This window comes from Homo sapiens, chromosome 8 (genome assembly GCF_000001405.40).
Source record: "Homo sapiens chromosome 8, GRCh38.p14 Primary Assembly".
Taxonomy (NCBI): domain Eukaryota; kingdom Metazoa; phylum Chordata; class Mammalia; order Primates; family Hominidae; genus Homo; species Homo sapiens.
This window is the reverse complement of record NC_000008.11, coordinates 40170723-40192067: the sequence shown is the minus strand read 5'-3', so window position 1 is coordinate 40192067 and position 21345 is coordinate 40170723. Positions and strand designations below refer to the sequence as shown.

Sequence of the window (21345 nt, the reverse complement as noted above, 5' to 3'; positions counted from 1 at the left end):
ACAACCATCATTACCACCAACTGCCATGTCCATGATATTCCTAGACATTTCAATTTTATTATGCAAGATGAATTTATATGCCTGTATCCCTATGTCTGAGACCTGTTCCCACCTAGCCCTGATTATACGAGGTTATGGCAGAATCATAGATAGTGGGCATTGCTGTAGAGCACCTTAGAATGAGTTTTCTATATGGGGAAACTAAAGTGCAGGTAATTTTTAAAAACTTTAAAAAATATTAATTTTAGCTGTTATCAAAGTAATATAAGCATATCAATAAAAAATATGGAAAGGCCTTTAACACACAACAGCCTTGCCTACCTACCCTCCCAAGCCTGTAGTCACACTCCTTAGAGGCAAATACTTTGGCTGATCTTCTGTTTCCTTTTGTGTTTGCCTCCATAATTCTACATGAGATGCTTATGTAATCATTTCCTGATTTCCATTTATAGACATAAGCTATTACTTGCTGGCTCTGCTAGCTGACTGGAGGAGCAATACTGGGTAGAAGTTACAAATAAGAACAGTGGAGCCAGGCTGCCTGGGCTTAATGCTTGAGACCACTCCTTCCCAGCTGTGTGGCTTTGAACCAGTTACTTTATATATCTCACGTGCCTTATATGTTTGATGCATGATATACACTTATTTGGTAATTATGAGAGTTAAATGGATGAGAACATGTAAAGCATCTAGAACAGCCCTCAGTACACAGTGTCAATAAACACAAGCTGTTTTTATTTTTAATTAATAATTTTTGTTTTTTAGAGACAGGGTCTTACTCTGTCACCAAGACTGGTATACAGTGCTGCCATCGTAGCTCACTGCAGCCTCCAATTCCTAGGCTCAAGCGATCTTCCCACTGCCTCCTGAGTCGCTGGGAATACAGGTGTGAAGAAGCTTTTTTTTTTTTCTTTTGAGATGGAGTCTCACTCTGTTGCCCAGGCTGGAGTGCAGTGGTGCGATCTCGGCTCACTGCAACCTCCACCTCCCGAGTTCAAGCGATTCTCCTGCCTCAGCCTCCCTAGCAGCTGGGACTACAGTCACGCACCACCACACCCGGCTAATTTTTGTATTTTTAGTAGAGACGGAGTTTCATCATGTTGGTCAGGCTGGTCTCAAACTCTTGACCTTGTGATCCGCCCGCCTCGGCCTCCCAAAGTGCTGGGATTACAGGCAAGAGCCACGGCAAGCCATAGGTTTAGCAGTTATATGCCACTCCCCTGCCTTATGTTCCGCTCTCCCAATACCATATTGACAGGTAAATCTCTAGTGAGTGAATATATTATTATCATCTAAAACTATTTATGAATAACAAGCTCTGAGACTCCTGCAGTTACATTTCCATTCTTGACTAATGTGTTGGTTTTTTTCCCAGAAACCACTTATTCCCCCAAATTAGTAACATCTTCATTGATTTTTTAAAATTTTTAAACATTTTCATGACACTTGTTATTTGAAATATTACTAACTGATGACTATTTATATTAAAAAGTTAAAATCATGGCCTGGCAAAATGCTCTTTTATCACTATTTAGAATTTCCTATTTTGTGAATCCCATGTCCTCCTCTTTCTTTTTAATTTCCTCTTTTTTGGGAGCATTTTTCCCAGTAACTTCCACAGAAAGTGTTCATGGAATATGCATTTTTGATAGCAAGGACTGCCTTTTTTCTGTATCATACTTGACAGACAGCTTGGGCTCTATGTAGTATTCTAGATTGAACATCATTGCCCGCAGAATGTTGAAGGTGGTATTTTCCAAATTTTTTTTCTTTTTTTTGAGACAGAGTCTCGCTCTGTTGCCCAGGCTGGAGTGCAGTGACGTGATCTCGGCTCACTGCAAACTCCACCTCTCAAGTTCAAGCTATTCTCCTGCCTCAGCCTCCCGAGTAGCTGGGATTATAGGCGCGTGGTGCCACGCCCGGCTAATTTTTGTATTTTTAGTAGAGATGGGGTTTCACCACGTTGGCCAGGCTGGTCTCGATCTCCTGACCTCAGGTAATCCACCTGCCTTGGCCTCCCAAAGTGCTAGAATTACAGGTGTGAGCCACCATGCCCGGCCCCTATTTTCCAACTTTAAAAGGAATAGATTACTTTTCTGATTAATGGTATTTGTTTGTAACCTCTTTTTATTCTTCTGAAATCCTGTAAAATCTTTATCCTAAGTGACGCTTTATAATAATGTGGCTGATTTTGTTTGTTTTGTATTTCATTGTATTTGATACTTGGTGAATCATTTAAATTTAAAAACTCATGTTCTTCAATTCTAGAAAATTTTCTTGAATTATTTCTGTAATAAATCTCCTCCTGTTCAATTTCTCCATTCTCTTTATGGAACTCTTAATAGTTAAATAATAGACAACCTGAGGTGATTTTTCGAACTTCTTTGTTTTTTTTCTGACAGGTTTTTTGTTCTTTTTCTGGGGAATTTCCTCAGCTTTACGCTCTGGTTCTTCCACAAGAGTCTCCTGTTTTTGCAACCACGTATTTTATTTTCAAGAAGTCTTACATATTTTCTGACAGTTTGCTTTTACTTGGCATCCTGGTCTTATTTCATGGCTTTGGTATGGACAAGAAGGACTCACTGAGGTTTTAAAGAATCCTATATATCCACCTGGTTTCGTATGATGGTGATCACAGTCCTGCATGTGATCTTCAGCTTTATAAATCCAAGGGTAACAAGGTTGTAAGAGATAAGTTCCCAGGAATAAAATTCATAACAAAATCAATTTACAGAGGCAGATCTGCCAGGATGATAAGAGAATTAAGATATGCTGGCTAGGGCAGTCTTCCCCAGTATCAAGATTCTTAGAAACATTAAGTTTGACAAGCAAGGAATTTTTGAGCAAATGAGTTGTATGGTATGAAATAATAATAATTTTATTTACACATGAAAATGTTCAAATGTGTATTTATTTTCTATTTCTGTTCTTGTCCTAGCCATATTGACCTGCTTTTCAATTCTACCTACACTAAGGCTTGAAAACGGCCAAATGAATAAAACAGAACCTAACTGGGCTTTAACATGACCTGGGAAACGAGTTAAAATTGTGTGTGTGTGCATATATGCATGTATGTATATGTATGTGTATGCATATACAGTATATACATAAGCACACATCAGGCTACATCCCAGACTTGCTGAATCGAATTTATTAGGCATGGATCTCAGCATCTATTTCAAGCACATCCCCTAATTCTGGTCCCATATACCTGCAAATTCTGAAATAAATGTTCAGACTGGTCTCCATCTAATGCTTGTGCCAGAGACAAGAGTTAACCTCACAGCCATGGCCTCTTGGGAGCTCCTCTTTTCCTTAAAGCTCTGACTCTACTTGGCTCTGAGCTACTGGCCAGACTGACTTTATTGTCAGACAGAGATGGATTTTCATCTAAGTTCTGCCAAGATGTGTGATCTTGGCTAAGTTATTTAACCTCCATGAGCCTGAGTGCACTCATCTGCAAGCAGGGAATGATAAGTACAAATATAGTAGAAAAGATGCCTAATATGTGATAGAACATCAAAAAATGCTAGTTTCCTTCCTTTCTTGATGGCATTTTGGATGAGTGCTTCCTGATGAGGGAGGAGATCATAAGCTCACTGATAAAGTGTCGCCAGCTACCCGACATGATGACTTTCTCTTGGTAGACCTCTTGCACGTAGTGGGCCCCATCCACAGGGTGTGGGTCTTCCTTAGATTCAGTCCTAGACAGTGGCACTTCCTGATCTGAGTGCCTTGTCCTTTTCCTGACTTTGTCATTTTCCGACCTTGTACATCTGAAGAGGCAGTCGTGGTAGAGGGGAAATAGCGTTGGGACTTGGAGATTGCCATGGCTTTCTTCTCTGAATAACTGAATAACCTTGGAAGTTTCAAACATTTTCAAGTTATATGTTCTCTTTGTGCATTTTTATGCCACTTTTCATCTATATAATGTGATTGTTGTGTGCATTTTATAGTTACTGTATATAGCGTGTGATTCTTGGCTTAATGTATGCCTGTTTTTTGGAGTGCTAAGCTCCATGTCCATTCTGCTCAGCACTGCATCCCCAGCACACCTTGCATGGGGATGATCACCTAATAAAATCTCAAAACATATGTATTGAATGAATGAATGAATTATTAAATGAATAATATAGAGATAAAGTCATCTGCTCTTTCTTTCTCATGATAATTATACAGATCAAATTAGATAAAGTACATGCAAATGCTTTGGAAGCTGTAGTAATACAAGTGTAAAATACTTCACTTTTTTTTTTTTTTTTTTTTTTGAGATGGAGTTTCACTCTTGTCACCCAGGCTGGAGTGCAATGGCATGATCTTGGGTCACTGCAACCTCCGCCTCCTGGGTCCAAGCGATTATCCTGTCTCAGCCTCCTGAGTAGCTGGGACTACAGGTGCCTGCCACCATGCCCAGCTAATTTTTGTATTTTTTAGTGGAGACAGGGTTTCACCATGTTGGCCAGACTCGTCTCGAACTCCTGACCTCAGGTGAGCCACCCACCTTGGCCTCCAAAATGCTGGGATTACAGGCTTGAGCCACTGCACCTGGCCTAAAATACCTCACTTTTGTTAACCTATACCTCTGCCATTTGTTAACAAACAGCATTGAGCCTAAAAAGTGTGCTTTAAATAGCCAGCAACAACAGCAAAAGATGTGTAGACCCTACCCAACACGAACTAAATCAGAACCCCTGAAGGTGGTGCCCGGGAATGTGTGTTTTCATAAGCCCTCTAGGAAGCGATTCAGACACATGCTGAAGTATAAGAACTATTATTCTGTAGGACATTCTTGACAAGGCTATTAGAATGGCAGAAATTACCATTCATCTTTATGATTATTATTTTATTTACCTAAACAATTCCTTTAAATTTCATCTTCTTTTGACCATTTTGATCTCAGAAAGGCCAAACCATCAGAAAGGCCTTCCCTAGACATCTATTCTGGACATTAGTTCCTTGTTTATTAACTTCATAGATCATAATGTATATTTACTTTATTGTTTCTGGTCTGTTTACTTTTTTAGTCTGTCTCTTCAAAATAGGTAAGTATTCTACAAGGAAGGGTGGAGTTTTTTTTAACCAATAATTTTCCCCGGTTCTCAACACAGTGGTGCCTAGCAGAGTTCAAGGAATGTTTTTGTTAACTGGATATGCGCCCTTAACAATATATTAATTGACAATGAGTGTCTATGGATTAATAAAATATAGACTTCATACTGAGTCATGGTTAGGCTCATATTAAAATTCATGCCTGCTTTCTGAGAATCAATACAGATTTATCAGACTCTCAAATTCTCTAAATTTTAATTTTCCTTTTTCTTTCATAAAGGAAGTTGAGATTTCTTCCAGTAATAAGGACTGAATGGCGTCTGTGCTCTGTGGCCAATATCATTCAATCTTTTTTTGCAGTAACTTGGAGGCTTTCTCAACACGGTGTCTCCTGTATAGTTAACTCTTGGTTGTCTGTGGGCAAAATACTTTTTATGAATCTTGCTTTGAGGTCCTTAATGAAATTGTATCGATTTATATTTTTAAGCCCTCCATCAGCCCTAGCAGAATTCAGCCCATCGGGGTTTCTTTTTAAATAAATAATCACCTCTCCTAAGATGTAAGTGTGTGCGTAATAAATACAGCGAGTTCATTCAGACTGGTTTGAGAAGAGCAACTGTCTTCCGCACTTCCTTAGCTGGTAGATAGGGAACATCCCGAGCATTTGTACCAACTGGGATAGATGCCAGCTCTCTGGCTCTGCTGATTTACCTCTTTGCCCAGTGTGAGTTGATTGTATTAAAAGAATTAGGCTTTAGGCCAGGCGCAGTGGCTCAAGCCTATAATCCCAGCACTTTGGGAGGCCGAGGTGGGCAGATCATGAGGTCAAGAGATTGAGACCATCCTGGCCAACATGATGAAACCCCGTCTCTACTAAAAAATACAAAAATTAGCCAGGCATGGTGGCATGCGCCTGTAGTCCCAGCTACTTGGGAGGCTGAGGCAGGAGAATCGCTTGAACCCGGGAGGTGGAGGTTGCAGTGAGCTGAGATCACACCACTGCACTCCAGCCTGGTGACAGAGCAAGACTCGGTCTCAAGAAAATAAAAAATTAAAAAAAAAAAAAAAGAATTAGGCTCTAAATAGTCAGTGAGGCTACCTTCCATTTAGATTAGTTTTTTTCTAAAATATTTGCCACTGGATTATAGATACCATGATTCTGTTTTATTTTCTGATGAGTCAAGGGAAGACAGTTTATATAAAACAGCATTTGCATTATTACTCAAACAAGGAGATACACCTTGTATTTAAGAATAATTCAATCAGGAAGAAAGAAAGCAATTCCTAAGAGATCCAATAATACTGTCTCCCTAGGAAAGGAAATTCTTTCTTGAGCCTCACTGTCAGGCAATTTACTTAGGCAGCAGCGGCCCCTTTTCCCCTTGGAACCAGGATGGCTAACAATAACTTTTTTTTCCTCCCACGCTACAGAAATCACCTCCTGGTCATTAGCCTGCTTCCCTTCCCTTCTTTTTAGGCTACTGCCATCTATTCAAATCCTTACAGGTCTGTTTTTCCAAGATGGGCTGTGATGTGCTCAGTATCTCCTAAGGCAGGCACTGAGCACTTTTAGAGTGAAAGTTTTAACTGCTACACCCTAAAAGGAAAAGCAACAGAAAATATCAAAAGTAACAAATATGGATAATTGGAGCATGGCTTAGAGATCTTGAATTCTGGCCTGTAGTCCATACTTCTACGTTGGTAGATGGAATCACACTTGGAATATTGTTTCCTGTTTTTATTCCTGATGTTGTAGTTCATCAAACTTAGCCTTTTTTTTAATTGAAGAATTGAAGAAGAACCTCATCTTCCAAGAAGATTCCAAAGTCCAGCCTAAGGAGGAAACCTGAAGGATTTGCCGTAATGGATAAATAACATTTCTAACAACCTTTAGAGCAGGCCACACTTAATAGGTCTCTGCCCCCAGCAGAAATTATTCCTCTGGGATATTATTTTTGTATACTTTATGAAGTATATGTTATGATCTCAATTTTATAGGAAATGAAATGCCAAATATACAAAAAGCTTAAATTTATTGACCAAAGTCACAGTCAATTTTCTAAGGGAGGATGGACTCGAATGAGGGCTGCTATGTTACAACTCAAAGGAGAATCAGATCCTAGTCTATGTGGATGGTGCCCATAAGCCTGGGCAGAGTCTTCATCCATTTGGATTGCCATAACAAAGTACCATAAGTGAAGTAGTTTATACATAAGAGAAGTTTGTTTCTCATATTTCTGGAGGTTGGGAAGTCCAAAGACAAGGTGCCAGCAAACTCAGTGTCTGCTGAGGACTTGCTTCCTGGTTCACAGACAGCCGTCTTCTTGCTGTGTCCTCACATGGTGGAAAGGGCAAGGGTGCTCCCTCAGGCCTCTTTTCACTAATTTCATTCATGAAAACAAAGCCCCCATGACCTAATCTCCTCTCCTAATGCCATCACCTTGAAAGTTAGGATTTCAAATAGGAATTTTGGAGGGACACGTTCACCATGGCAGGCAATGTGCAGCCTGCAGAACCCAAGTGCTGACCCTGGTTTGACTTGATGCCTTGCCGTGCCACACTGCCTATTGCTATCTAAAGCAGGGCACTCCACAAATTGTTTGCACAGTGGGAACCATCACTAATGAAAATAAAAGGAATGAGCAACATTTATCTATCATCTATCTACCTACTTACCTACCTATTTATTTATTCACATTTAATAAATAGATTTTATTTTTAGAGCAGTTTTAGGGTCAAAGCAAAATTGAGTGGGAAGTATGGAGTCCCTGTATGCCTCCTGACCCCACAGGCACAACCTCCACCAATATCAATATCCCCCACCAGAGTGGTACACTTGTTATGATTGATTAACCAAATTGATACATCATTATCACCCAAAGTCTATAGTTTACCTTAGGGTTCACACTCTTAGTGTTGTAAATTTTACAGGTTTTGACAAATGTATAATGACGTATCCACCATTATATAGAATAGCTTCTCTATACTAAATATCTTCTGTGTTTTACCTATTCATCCCTCCCTCCCCTACATACCCTGGTAACCATTGTTTTTTTTAATCTGTTCACTGTCTCCATAGTTTAGCCTTTTCCAGAATGTCATAAAGTTGGAATCATATAGTATATAGCCTTTTCAATTGGGTTCGCTTACTTTGCAATATACACTTCAGTTTCTTGAACTTTTTTTTATGGCTTGATAGTTCATTTCTTTTATCACTAAATAATATTCTATTTTATGGATGACCAACGTTCACAACAACGTTTTTTTCTGAAGAAATAAAGAAATAAGTGTTACTATGAATTAGAGAAATTTTAGTAAAATAAGTTACTTAAAAATTCCAACTACTTAACAATAAGATCCTGAAAGTTTCTTTCTTTGCCCTTTTGCTAAGATTATGTCACAAAATAATATGTTTATGGTCCTCATAACTTTTAAAAAATAATTACAAAATGAAATAAATACCAGACTAGGAATTAGAAGACCAGTGATTAGTGTCCCCTATACAATGTGACATTGGTAGAGAGCAAACCAAGTAACCTATTTGGACATAAACTTGCTAATTTGTCAAAAAAAGGGAAGTTGAAGATCTTTAATATTCCTAATGAGCAAGAAATCTAGTCCACAAACCTGTATTTCATGATAAGTGAATATCAAGTACATTTTGTTTGAGTTATCTAGTAATTTTTGTCTATTATTACCCTGGACTTCTCTTAACATATCAAATTTTAATCCAGGAATTAAAGACAGTATACTATAACATTTCTTCACTATCAAATGTTTTATCTCTTTCTAAATCCATTCAACAAACAAGACTCTTTCAGCAGAGATGTTTTAGATATTAAAGCATCCCAGTAATTTCTTTTTGCATAAGGTGGTGGGTTTCTTCAGATATAATAAAACTAGCATCTTCAAACTTCTGAAACATGGTGCAGTATCCTTCATGAATTCCACAATACTTATTGAACACCTACTGTATACTGTGCCAAGTAATGTAATTGTGAACAAAAGAGACATGGTCACTACCCTCCTGATATGCACAGATTGGTGAAGTGTGAAACACTGAGCAAGGAGGCACACAAATGAATATATAATTGCATGGTGTGATAAACATCATGAGAGAGAAGGAGGATGCAACAGAGTGAGTTCATTTAGACCAGGACAGTGAGGGAAACTTCTCTGAGAAAATACAATTGAGAACTGAGTGTTAAGCAGGTATTGAAAACTTCCAGTTAGGATTAAGAGCTTGATTTTGGATAAGTCTGAAAGTTATTTTCCTGAGCTATGGAAGTATAATTAGGGAATCTTCAGCTTCATATAAAAGTCAGGAGCTTGGAAGAAAGATCAACTTTAGAGCAAGATCTGCAATAGAGCAAACATCTCTATGTACTCAAAGGTTAGCCTAAAATAGAGTTTGAACAAATATTTTAAAGGTGCAAAATACTATTAGAAAATACTATTTGAGGCCATGCATGGTGGCTCACGCCTGTAAATTCCAGCACTTTGGAAGGCCAAGACAGGCCAATCACTTGAGGTCAGGGGAGTTCAAGACCAGCCTGGCCAACATAGTAAAAACCCTGTCTCTACTAAAAATACAAAATTAGCCATGTGTGGTGGCAGGTACCTGTAATCCCAGCTACTTGGGAGGCTGAGGCAGGAGAATCGCTTGTACCCCGGAGGCAGAGGTTGCAGTGAGCTGAGATCACACCACTGCACTCCAGTCCAGGTGACAGAGCAAGACACTGTCTAAAACAAATAAAAGTTAACCAAAACCAGAAATGACTAACAGCATGAGCAACAATCTAAACTGCACTTGGACCAGTGTGGTGGCTTACATCTGTGATTCTAGCACTGTGGGATGCCGAGGTGGGAGGATCACTTGAGGCCAGAAGTTTGAGACCAGCCTGGGCAACATAATGAGTTTAGCCGGGCTTGGTGGTACACCCCTGTGGTCCCAGCTACTTGGGAGGCCGAGGTGGGAGGATCACTTGAGTCCAGGAGGTTGAGGCTGCAATGAGCTAGGATCACACCTCTGCATTCCAGCCTGGACAACAGGGAAAGCCCTTGTCTAAAAAAGAGAAAATACATAAATAAATAAACTATAGCGTCCGCAGATAATCTGAGCCCAGTTGTTCACTGGCTGTGCATGAGGCTGTGCTTTGTGTGTTCCTTTCAAAGTTGCAGAACGAGTGTGGCAACTGACCTGGGTGATGGTCAGCCAGTGTGAGCCTGCCTAGGTCCACTGTCTCCTCACTCTCTATATGCCCATATTGATTGACAGATAAATCTGTCTACTTTGGAGATTTATTTCATCTACAACAAACAAACATCTGCTGCCTCTAGAGATAAGTATTCGAAGCTCCTGAGTAACTCTTCCATAACATTATATGGTGATTTATCACTGAAAGAACAAAAAACTAACAATAATTGAAATGTGGGTGTTTTTACTTTCAAGACAATGATCCAGTCTTGTTAATGACCTAAAAGTCATACTCTTAAATATTTACTTCTTTTAAAGGATACCATAAAGTACCATCAGCTTTGCTGTAATAAAAAAGCAAATAGACAATCACCAGGACACAAAACTCTGATTTTACAGGTGAAGGAACTAAGGAACTGAGAAGGTAAGACTCCTTTAACCACTTAAGTCCAGTTACTTAAACCCCTGTAACCAGTCGTCAACTCTACACCTAGAGTATATCCTCCTTTTTCTTCCTTGTTGCAGAATTCCATTTTGTTCAGGCACTCATGGTGAGATTTAGGAAGAGTTTTACTAAAAGGGAGAAACAATTATTCTAAGCATTGTCTCATCTAGATCTGATTTCTAGAAATGTGGCAACCATCATGTGATAGCAAAAGGAACTAGCCTAGGACAGGCTTAAATACCAAGGATGCATAACCAAAAGATTGAAAGAACCCAGGTGCTTGACGCATCCTTGAGCCGTCAGATTAACTAGCACTGGCATGGCCCCTATCTCTGGGTTAACTACTATGTAAAATAGTGCTGCTTTCTGTTGTTGAAGCCATTTAAGGGTGTGCGATTGCTCTGTTTCTTCCTGTTGAAAGCACCCAAATAAACTACACCTTTAGTACACCATTCTAGATGATACCTTTTGAAGGTTTAAGTCCCTGCTTTATTGAATGAAGATCAAAATAGCTCTATCATTGAGTTGTTGAAAGAGATTAATGAGATAATGTTAATAAATTATTTGGGCCAGGTGTGGTGGCTCATGCATGTAATCCCAGCACTTTAAGAGGCCAAGGAGGGCAGATGACTTGAGGCCAGGAGTTCAAGACCAGCCTGGCCAACATGGTGAAACCCCGTCTCTACTAAAAAATACAAAAATTAGCCAGGGGTGGCAGGTGCCTGTAATCCCAGCTACTTGGGAGGCTGAGGCAGGAGAATCGCTTGAACCCAGGAGGCAGAGGTTGCAGTGAGCTGAGATCACACCACTGCACTCCAGCCCAGCGACAGAGTGAGACACTATCTTAAATAAATAAATAAATAAATAAATAAATTAGCATGGTGTCTGGTATAGAGTTCCACACATGATAGCTAGTATCACTCTAAGTCAATGTTCCTTTTATTGTAATACCCTGCCTTCTAGACAATTTCAAAGTATAACCAGACATTAAATTGTAAATTACATTTGAGAGACCAAGATATAATAGATATGATATTCTAAAGTAAGGCTACAGACCAAAATGCAAAGTGTCAAATGTTTTAGGTTTTGTTTGTTTGTTTTTAATAAAAAGCAGTTCCCTGACTGCTGAACTCCTCTTCTATATCTAAAGTACAAAAGCTTCAGAAAGAATGTTCAGGAATATTTACTTGGAGAGAGAGCTGTGATGTGAGTTCTGTCCCCTCCCCTAAACACATCAACACTCCAAGTGGGAGGACATATTTCTCACCATCTCAAGTCAAGAGAGGAACTTGAAGGAAACTGATCAGAGGACAGAATATGTGTGGTCTGAAGTATTTAGCAGGGTGGGAAGAGGGACAGACTTGACTGGTTTAACAAAGAGGAAGGGTGGAATAAGGATATTTCCCTGCTGCTGAAAGATGAGTAGAAGCAAGGCTACACTGGATTTGGCCCTTGGAGGGCAAAGGGTGCATGAGAATTTCCAGGGAACCAGATGTGGACCATTCATACAAAGGAATATCTAGAACTTTCCAGTAGGGCCACCAGGAGGGGTGATCTGGCTGAAGGGTTGCTGTATTCCTAGAAGCTAAGGAGGGATAAAGTGACAAACCAGAAAGGTGTAAATCATTCGTGTCAAGAGAATTGTAGCCACCCAGTGACGGGGGAGATAAACTCTAAAGAACCCATAAAAGCAGCCATGAAAGAAACAGGTTGTAACAACTGGCCAGGTCTAGAGAACACAGGCCCATCTTGTCACAGCATCCATTTTATTAGGCCTCACCAGCTCCTCTTGTACCTTATCTCCCCAGCCCTTGCATGTTGCTGGCTGGCTGTGAGCCTTAGGCACGAGAGAAGACTCTACTTCAGTGAAGATGAAACCTTTCATTCTTACATAGGTTTACTATTCTAAGTACTGAATTAAAGCTGTTTTGTGACATAATGTGATTCTAGGGCTTTTAATTTATTGGGGCCTATCCAAATTTTTATCTAGGATTATTTCAAAAAAACTACCACAATGAATGGCTTAAAGGGAAAATAAAAATCAAACATTAAGTTGCTTGCATGCTTATACCCCATGACTTCAGCTCTTCCAACATACTAGTTACACAATTTCCTATTATATGCTCACTACGTGCTCTGCACTAGGATAAGTCTTTCAGAGATTAATAGAATCAGACCCAATCACCAAGTCGTGTTGTATATTCCACTACACTGTATATTGCTGGGGATACAGAGACTGGCTCATATCTGCTACTTAATCCATTTTAACTGTTAGTGCAAGGCCGTCCCTCTAAAACCTTGCAAACTATTGGTAGAGATGGGAATGGCAGTTATAAAATAATTACAAGAACTGGGTTCTAGTTAATGTTTTGCTACTGAGAAGCACTGAGACATAGGCTATTCACCCCACTTTTGTGATGCTTCATTAGCATATCTGTAAATGGAGAGGAACGGGCCACATAAGCCATATGGCACCTTCTAAAATTCTGTAATTCTATAGCAGCATTATTCACAATAGCCAAAATTTGGAAACCAACTCAAATGTACATTAAATCCTGAATGGGTAAATAGAATGTGGTGCATCCATACAATGGAATATTATTTGGCAATACAAAGAATGAAGTCCTGACCCATGCTTCAGCATGGATGAACCTTGAAAACATGATGCTAAGTAAAAGAAGCCAGAGACAAAAGACCACATATTATATGATTCCTTATATGTGAAAGTCCAGAATAGAGAAACCTATAGAAACAGGAATTAGATTAGTGGTTGCCTAGAGTTGTGGAAGTGAGGCAGGGAAGCTGAGTGACTATAGGGAGATGAGGGTTTTTTGATAGGCGATAAAATGTTCTTGAATTTATTGCGATGGTGGCTGTATCACTCTGTGCATATACTAAAAATAATTTCATTTACATTTTAAATCAGCAAATTGCAGGGTATGTGAATTTTATGTCAATAACATTGTTATTTAAAAATTCTAAAAATTTTTTATATAAATTGGAGTAAGAAAGTCAGAAGACACATTGAATGTTGAATAATGAAGTAACCGTTATTTTCTAATAACATTATATTCACTAAAAGAGAAGATAGCTTTGTAAATATTTTTATTTGTTGCATTTCAGTAATCTAGATTCAGATATAATTTATGAAAGGATGAAAGAAAAAATAAAACTTTTAGGATCAACAGACTGATTTTACCATTCTCCTTTTAACTTCTAAGTACTGACAGTAAAATTATTGTTAATGTTATCATTTATTGATTGATGAATCATTAAAATATACATGTAATTATCAACCTTGTTTTTAATTTCACCTTATTCTTCTATTAAGGAAAAAGAAGAAGAGTACACGCATTAAGCCACTACTATTAGGCCTTGTACCCACTGAGCTTACGTATAGCATCTGATTCACTCCTCAGGGCAGCCCTTGACAAAAGTAAAATTATCCCAATTTCACAGAAGAATAACTGATGCTTAGAAAGTGTACATTATTTGCATAAAGGTACACAATAACACTAAGCAAATTTTGGATTGAATTCTAAGTCATTAAAAATAATATACAGAAATCAACTTGAGTTTTAACTATGTCTGTCTTCAGTGGCTCTACATAGAGCCTGTTAGATTTATGACTAACTCCCCTACCTAGCACTGAACGCATTTGCTAATCTGATTCTATTTTTAAATGATCTCTCAAGACTGTAATCACAAATTCTCCAGCCCATTTTGGGAGTTTTCATACTGTTCTTCAACTAGAATTTCCTTTTCACATATATATTTTGTATTTCCTTAGCAGAGGGCCTTAGCTTAAACTTAAGCTGATATTCTCTCCTATTTGAACATATTTGCTAAATAATGAATGAGGACTTTGGGGATTAATTTTCCTGAACGTGTGAGACTGGAAGAGAGAGGGAAACACAGCAACACTGTTTAACCTGGAGAGAAAATCCCCTGCCATGGGTATGAACATGAGTATTCACACACAGAGCACCACTGTCACCAGCAGTGATGAGTGACCTCCCCTAAGTGGCTTCACAGGTGGCCAACTTCTAGAAGTGATGAACTGATGGACCCAAGAAGGCTATGGGGAGCTGATGTGAAATCCGTGCTCACCCATAGAAATATTAGAATGTGATTTTTCAAGAGATTGAGTTCTTAATGAGAGCAAGCACAAGCTCCATGTTGGTCTCTTCTCCAACTTGCATTTTTCTTTCTTTTGTGCAGTTTCTAAAAGATAAAGCATATATTCATTGGGGTTAGTAGTGTGAAAGAAAATAGAATCTTGGGGCCCCAAACACACTATGACAAGAGAAAGTTAAGCTTGGGAACGGACACTGTTTTCCTTTTGTTCCCAAATAGCTGTAATTTCACAACCCTGTGCCATAGCCCCATTTCCTCTGCTCCCTCTTTTCATGCGGTTACTTTAGCTATGTCAAATGTAGTTGACTGAGCACAGGACAATGCGTCATTGACTTTTTCCCCTACTCCCTCTTCTTCTTATGTAAAATGTAGATTTACTGAAGCTAATCAGAGCCTCACAAGAATGTCACCATCTGCCTCACTGCCTATCCTCCCTCTCTTTTTTCCCTTCCTGCTTGCTTTTTTCCTTTATTACTGACGTTCCAAAAGCTCCCTGTCGACAAAAAGAGTCAAACTGTAAAATATTTGAAGAGATTTATTCTGAGCTAAATATGAGTTACCAATGGCCTCTGACACATTCCCAGGAGATCCTGACAACCTGTACCCCAGGTGGCCAGCTACAGCTTGGTTTTATACATTTTAGGGAGTCATAAGGCATCAATCAATACATGTAAGATGTACATTGGTTTGGTCCAGAAAGCCAAGACAACCGAAAGTGGGGGCTTCCAAGTCATAGGTGGATTCAAACATTTTCTGATTGGTTGTATTATTATCTAAAGATCTGGAATCAATAGAAAGAAATGTCTGGGCTATGATAATGGGTTGTGGAGAGCAAGGTTTTACCATGCAGATGAAGCCTCCGGGTAGGAGGCTTCAGAAAGAACAGATTGTAAATGTTTCTTATCAGACGTAAAGAGTCTGTTTTACCAGTTCTAAGGTCTCTGTGTTGATGTTAATGCTAGTCAGCTGTGCCTGAATTCCAAAAGGGAGGAAGGTATAATGAGGCATGTCTGACTCCCATGATAGGAACATCACGGCCTGAACCAGTTTTTCAGGTTAACTTTGGAATGCCCTTGGCTGAGAGGAGGGGTTCATTCTGATGGCTGTGGAGCTTAGAATTTTATTTTTGGTTTACCACCTTTTGGAAAAAAACACAAGTCACAGATACTCTTGGGACTTAAAATTTCCCCAGGCATGTCTTTAACCTTGGCAAAATACCTCTCTATGGATTGAGACCTGCCCCAGTCACTTTTTAGTTAATAGTAAAAATACACATTGCTTCCGTTACATCAGTTAAAATGCCTGGCTTCAGGATTACATGCTCCAGCCTTCTCAGTTTATGGTCACAGCACAAAAGTTACATGGCTTCCTCATGTTAAATCACACATCTAAGTTTAGAAGGAACACCTGGATGGCTTTCAGGCTCTCTTAATTGGAACTTTATAAAAATTCCACATTCTTTGTCTATTCCTGCTCATCTGCAACTGGAAGTGCTATTGGTCAACAACATGGCCACAAAGCAGGTAGTGCAATGGAAAAGGAAAGGAAATTAACATTTGCTAAGTGCCTACTATGTATAAAAACCTGTTCTAGGCAATTTGCATGTTAAATTTGCTTAGTCTTCATAACAACCCATGGGATAGTTGTTAATAGCATTGTCTTGTAGATGGATAACAGAGGCTCACAAAGGTAATTTACTTACTCAGTCAAGCAATTATTAAATGGTAGAACCAGACTATGACTCCAGGTCTGTCTGATTTAGATTCCTTTCTGAAGAAGCCATAAAACTCATCACCTTTCTTTGAATAATCGGGAGGCACCATGGACATAAAACTTTCTTGTGTCTGAGTTTCAAAGATCTATAGATATCTCAAAGAAGTTCAAGTAACAAAAATATGTCAAACATCTCTCTAAAGTGCATATTTCCCAGAGTAAACCCAGTGGCCATTAAGATCTGGCTGGAGATTTTGCCAAAAGATTGGGATGAACCCAAAAAAGACAGCATGAAGAAGTCTTAAATTCTTTTCACATGTGTATCATTTTTATGTTAGCAAGGGGGCCACTTTGATCCTACAATCAGATAACCCAGGAAGTGATTTGGAATTCTTTTAAATATCTGTACCATCCTCAGGGCAGGACACAAGGTCAAGTCTATTATTTTGATTCATGTGAAAAGACCAGAGTGGACGCTAGGCAGTATTGACCTCTTCCGCTTCCAATCTGAGCAGGATGGGAAGTAGCTAAAGATTAACAAAGTAAGCAAACTTGTTTGCTGTACAAACTATGCATAAGTTTGAGGCCAACTTCAGGAATTCTGAACCCTCAGGCTGTGCTATGTAGTTTCCATAACAACTAGTGACAGAAAATGAGGCAAACAGACGTGACTCACACAAAATGTTTCGGTCCAGTTCTCAGAGGCCAAATTTGGTCATTGGAGACCTTTAAAGAATAGAGTCATCTCTGTCTTACTAATCACATTCAAAGGGCAAAATGTTCCTCAGTAAAAACAGCTGTCTCCATGGGCCACCAAGGAAGTCTATTCAATCATCAGTGCAGAACAATGGGGAGTCCCTGTTGTTCACACATGGCTACTCCCTGCCAAGTTCCCTCTGTAAAGGGGCGTTCGAGAACCTCAGAGTGTTACTGCTTGATTGTATTGTACATGGTGACTGACTGCAGTTTGGTCCACAGAGGATTGGGCAGCAAGCTGGTGTCATGTTTTGATGGTTGGGTCAGCATTGCTTCATGGGCTAGGTTCACCTGCCCATGAATCAGGAGTGGGGCAGCGGGGGTAAGGAAGAAAATGAGGGGGCTCTTCTTGATATCCTTAAAAAATGTCTGTAGTTCACAGCAGTCTGCAAACCACTTCCCCCCAACCCTCGTCCTGCAACTACCACAAGTCTGTATAAAGCCTGCCTCTCTGATTTCATGCCTCACTGACCTGTTTTGCTATATCCCAAGGACTTTGTGCACAGCCTCACCCTCAGACAGATTCTTTGCCCATTTGCACTGCCCTCTACTCCTTCCATTAATTTCATCCTTTGCACTTCCCTCTACTCCTTCCATTAATTTCATCCTTTCCCACCATCCCCTTAATGCTTGTTGAGACCACATTTCTCTCTCTTTTTTGAGACAGGGTCTCACTCTCACCCAGGCTGGAGTACAGTGGCATGATCTTGGTTCACTGCAGCCTCGATCTCCCAGGCCCAAGTGATCCTCCCACGTCATCCTTCTGGGTAGCTGGGACTACAGGTGCACAACCACAGGATAATTTTTGTAATTTTTGTATAGACAGGGTCTTGAAATGTTGCTCAGGCTGGTCTTGTACTCTTGGACTCAAGAGATGCTGCTCTCTGGGCTTCCCAAAGTGCTGGGATTACAAGTGTGAGACACTGCACCCGGCCACATTTCTCTTATTCTCTCCATTTCTGCTTTTATTCTTTATCCTATCCTATTTGAATTGCCACATGGCAATTCAAATGAGCTTTTAAAAATATGGACCCACTTTGCCATCTTTCCCTTCAAAATGCTTCACTGACCTTGCCTTACTCTGAGAGTATAATAAAAACTACAGGAACTCCACCCCACGCACCAGGTTTGACTTCCATTCCCAAAGCCACCAGGCTACTTTGGTCTCAGCATTTTTTTTTTTTTTTGAGACAGAGTCTCACTCTGTTGCCCAGGTTAGAGTGCAGTGCAGTGGTGCAGTCTCAGCTCACTGCAACCTCTGCCTCCCAGGTTCAAGCGATTCTCTTGCCTCAGCCTCCTGAGTAGCTGGGACTACAGGTGCCTGCCACTACGCCCGGTTAATTTTAATTTTTTGTATTTTTAGTAGAGATAGGGTTTCACCGTGTTAGCCAGGATGGTCTCGATCTCCTGGCCTCGTGATCCACCTGCTTCGGCCTCCCAAAGTGCTGGGATTACAGGAGTGAACCACCGTGCCCGGCCTGGTCTCAGCCTTTTGTAACCCAGATCCTTCTGTCTCTTCCTCCCATTTTTCACCTAGCTGACCTATTCTTTCCATCTCACTTTTAATACCTTTTTCTCAGTGAGGACCCATATAAACATAGTGGAAGATGGTACAAAAGTGGAATGATGCCTACTCCTGGGTACTTCCTTCATCCTCAGGTAGAGACTTCTAAAGTACACCATGCAAGAGACATCCCTTATTTCACAATTTTGAAACCTGTTGAATCACTGAGTAGGCTATTCACGGAAGGTTGGTGATGCAAGCTCCTTATTATCCCATGCGCAGAGGAAGCTAACACACTTGTTCTGGGTAATTCTGGTCTTGAATCATTTCCTGTTAGCTCTTGAGACTCCTTGCATGTGGTACCAGCTTGCTGAGCAATGATCTCAGTTTATAGCAGGTTGCTTTGGCCTCTGGGATGTCGGTCCTGTGTGGCAGAGCCATGATCCAAGGAAGTTTCCCAGGGAAGCCCTGGGATTTGGAATTGGTGAGTCAGTTGAGACTGACAAAAATCAGTTTGTCAAAGAGAGGCTGTCTGAAAAATATACTGCATGGTGATAAACTGCCTTTTCCCCCCCTCAGGGCAATGCTAAAATTACAAAACAGAAATTCATTCAGAAGAAATTCTAATCAAAATAAAAAATGAAAATGAAAGTATTTGGAATCTGAAATCTTGATTGTTTTTGTTTTGATGCCTTCAAATTTAAATCAGAGTACAGAAGGAGTGGAAATTCTTAAGACAAGTTACTTATAGGCTCACGTATAGAAGAGCAAGCCTCTGAAATAGGCAAAACTCTCTCCATCATTCCAGTAAGGAGAATGAAGCCAAGAGAGGTTAAACGATGTGCCCATTGTCACAGAGCCAACGAATGATGCACCAGGATGGGTCCCCAGAGCCCAGGCTCATGCAGGCTTATGCAGGGGCCGAGACGATTCTGAGTGCTGTGTTCCCTGGAGAAGACAGGCTTCCTATAAACCAAAAGAAACATTTATATACATAGCCAGTATAATCAAAATGCTGGGAAATCACACAGAAATCTGTTTACTTTTCTAAAATATTGAGTTGGAATAATTGGAACAAAATGTGCCATTCTCTTTATTGGATAACATATTTTAGTATAAATCATATAAAGTTGGCATTTTTGTAACTCAAAAGCAGTGAAACATTGGCAATTTGAAATTACATTTGTCTTTGAATTGGCTGTCTCTCCTGATTCTACTGTATTTTATCTCTGGTTTTAGCACTCAGCACATTACCAAGTACGTAGGAAAAACCCAGGAAACGTTTATAGAAGAAATGAGCAAAATGAGATTCTGTTATCTAAGATACAGACAGCCTTGTGTGTTAAGCTTCTTACACAGACATGACATTTTAATAAAATAGATGGTAGCTTTATAAGGGCCTCTTGATAGAGAAGGATGTTTGTAGGCTTTGGCAACGAGAAGAGAAGTCAGAGTTTCACCTGCAGTACTTACTATGTGAGACCATGGGCAAATTACTTAATCACTCTGACAGCATTTCCTCATTGCAGAATGGGAATGATGATAGATACCTGCAAAGATTATTATGAGAATCAAGTGAGATTGTGTTTATACTGAATCAGTCTTACAGTAGCCACTCGGCAAATGTTATTCTTGATTCCAAATCCTGCTACTAGGTTACCACTTAATGCTTTACATAAAAAAAGTGGAGTTCTAAAAAGGTTGTGTTTTTAGTGCTGGCTTCAGCTAAGCAGTGCTGACTAAAATGTTTCTTAGGCAATAAACGTTTTTGAATTATTTTTTGAAACATCATTCAAATAAAAATAGAGAATGAAGCAGCATTTCCCAAGTATTAATGACACGAATGCCTTACTATATTAATACAGCACAGTAATATCAACAGATTGAAGAAAGTAAAAATTCTAGTTGCTTTTCCTTTTTGGGAGAAGCATCTGTGTAATAAGGAATTCTATTTTAATACTGAGAAATGGTAAACTTCCTGTGTTCTAGTTCATTATAATTGCCCCGCCCTTTGAAGATGATAATGGTCTGCAAAACAGAGCTATTTTGGTACCAAGTAAAGCTGCAAAATCTCCCTCATCAGCAAAACTGAAGGAGAGGCAAGGAAAAAGCGTTTATGTTTGCAATTAACTGGGTCTTTTTTGATATTCAATAGTAAGAAAAACAAAGTTTTTGTTGATCTACAACAATTTGATATTTTAGGAAAAAACAATTCACATGGAAAAATGTCTTCAATTTAGTTTTGCTGCCATGTAAGAAGATATTCTTAGTGAAAAAAAATGTAATGTGCATTCACTATAGGGGAAGATTTTCAGATTTTTTTTGGCTTGTCTTTATTATTGTTTATTTCTGTTTTTGTCTTAGATCTTAACATAGCTTTAACCACTTCCTTTTCCAGGGGTTACAATTGTGTTTATTCATAGAACTAAAGTTCAGTACCTTCTCCCTTTATTCATTTAGAATTCCACAAATATTTACTGATTATTACAACATACATGACACGGGCCTAGACTCAGGGGGACCCAGTGACCTACTAGAAAAAAA

At 39.4% G+C, this 21345-nt stretch overlaps 1 long non-coding RNA gene across 5 annotated transcripts in view, besides 2 other annotated features; it reads right to left on the bottom strand.

Annotated features, from left to right (window-relative positions):
• Positions 17002–17146: an enhancer, noted in NCBI's record as "145 bp enhancer 269 fragment used in the MPRA reporter construct; PK_construct_267". NCBI's record gives its function as "activates an SV40 promoter by MPRA in HepG2 cells {active_cell/tissue: HepG2}" and the evidence as "EXISTENCE:reporter gene assay evidence [ECO:0000049][PMID:23512712]".
• Positions 17068–17081: a transcriptional cis regulatory region, noted in NCBI's record as "HNF1 motif; enhancer activity is reduced when this motif is scrambled". NCBI's record gives its function as "necessary for full MPRA enhancer 269 activity {active_cell/tissue: HepG2}" and the evidence as "EXISTENCE:site-directed mutagenesis evidence [ECO:0005528][PMID:23512712]".
• Positions 18998–21345, bottom strand: part of LINC02866 (long intergenic non-protein coding RNA 2866) — a 69001-nt gene continuing 66653 nt past the window's right edge. For all 5 annotated transcript variants that reach the window (NR_186440.1, NR_186439.1, NR_186438.1 and 2 more), the window contains 2 exons: positions 20275–20351; positions 18998–19767 (listed from right to left, as the gene is read on the bottom strand). This is a non-coding gene — a long non-coding RNA (long intergenic non-protein coding RNA 2866). The remainder of the gene's footprint in view (positions 19768–20274; positions 20352–21345) is intronic.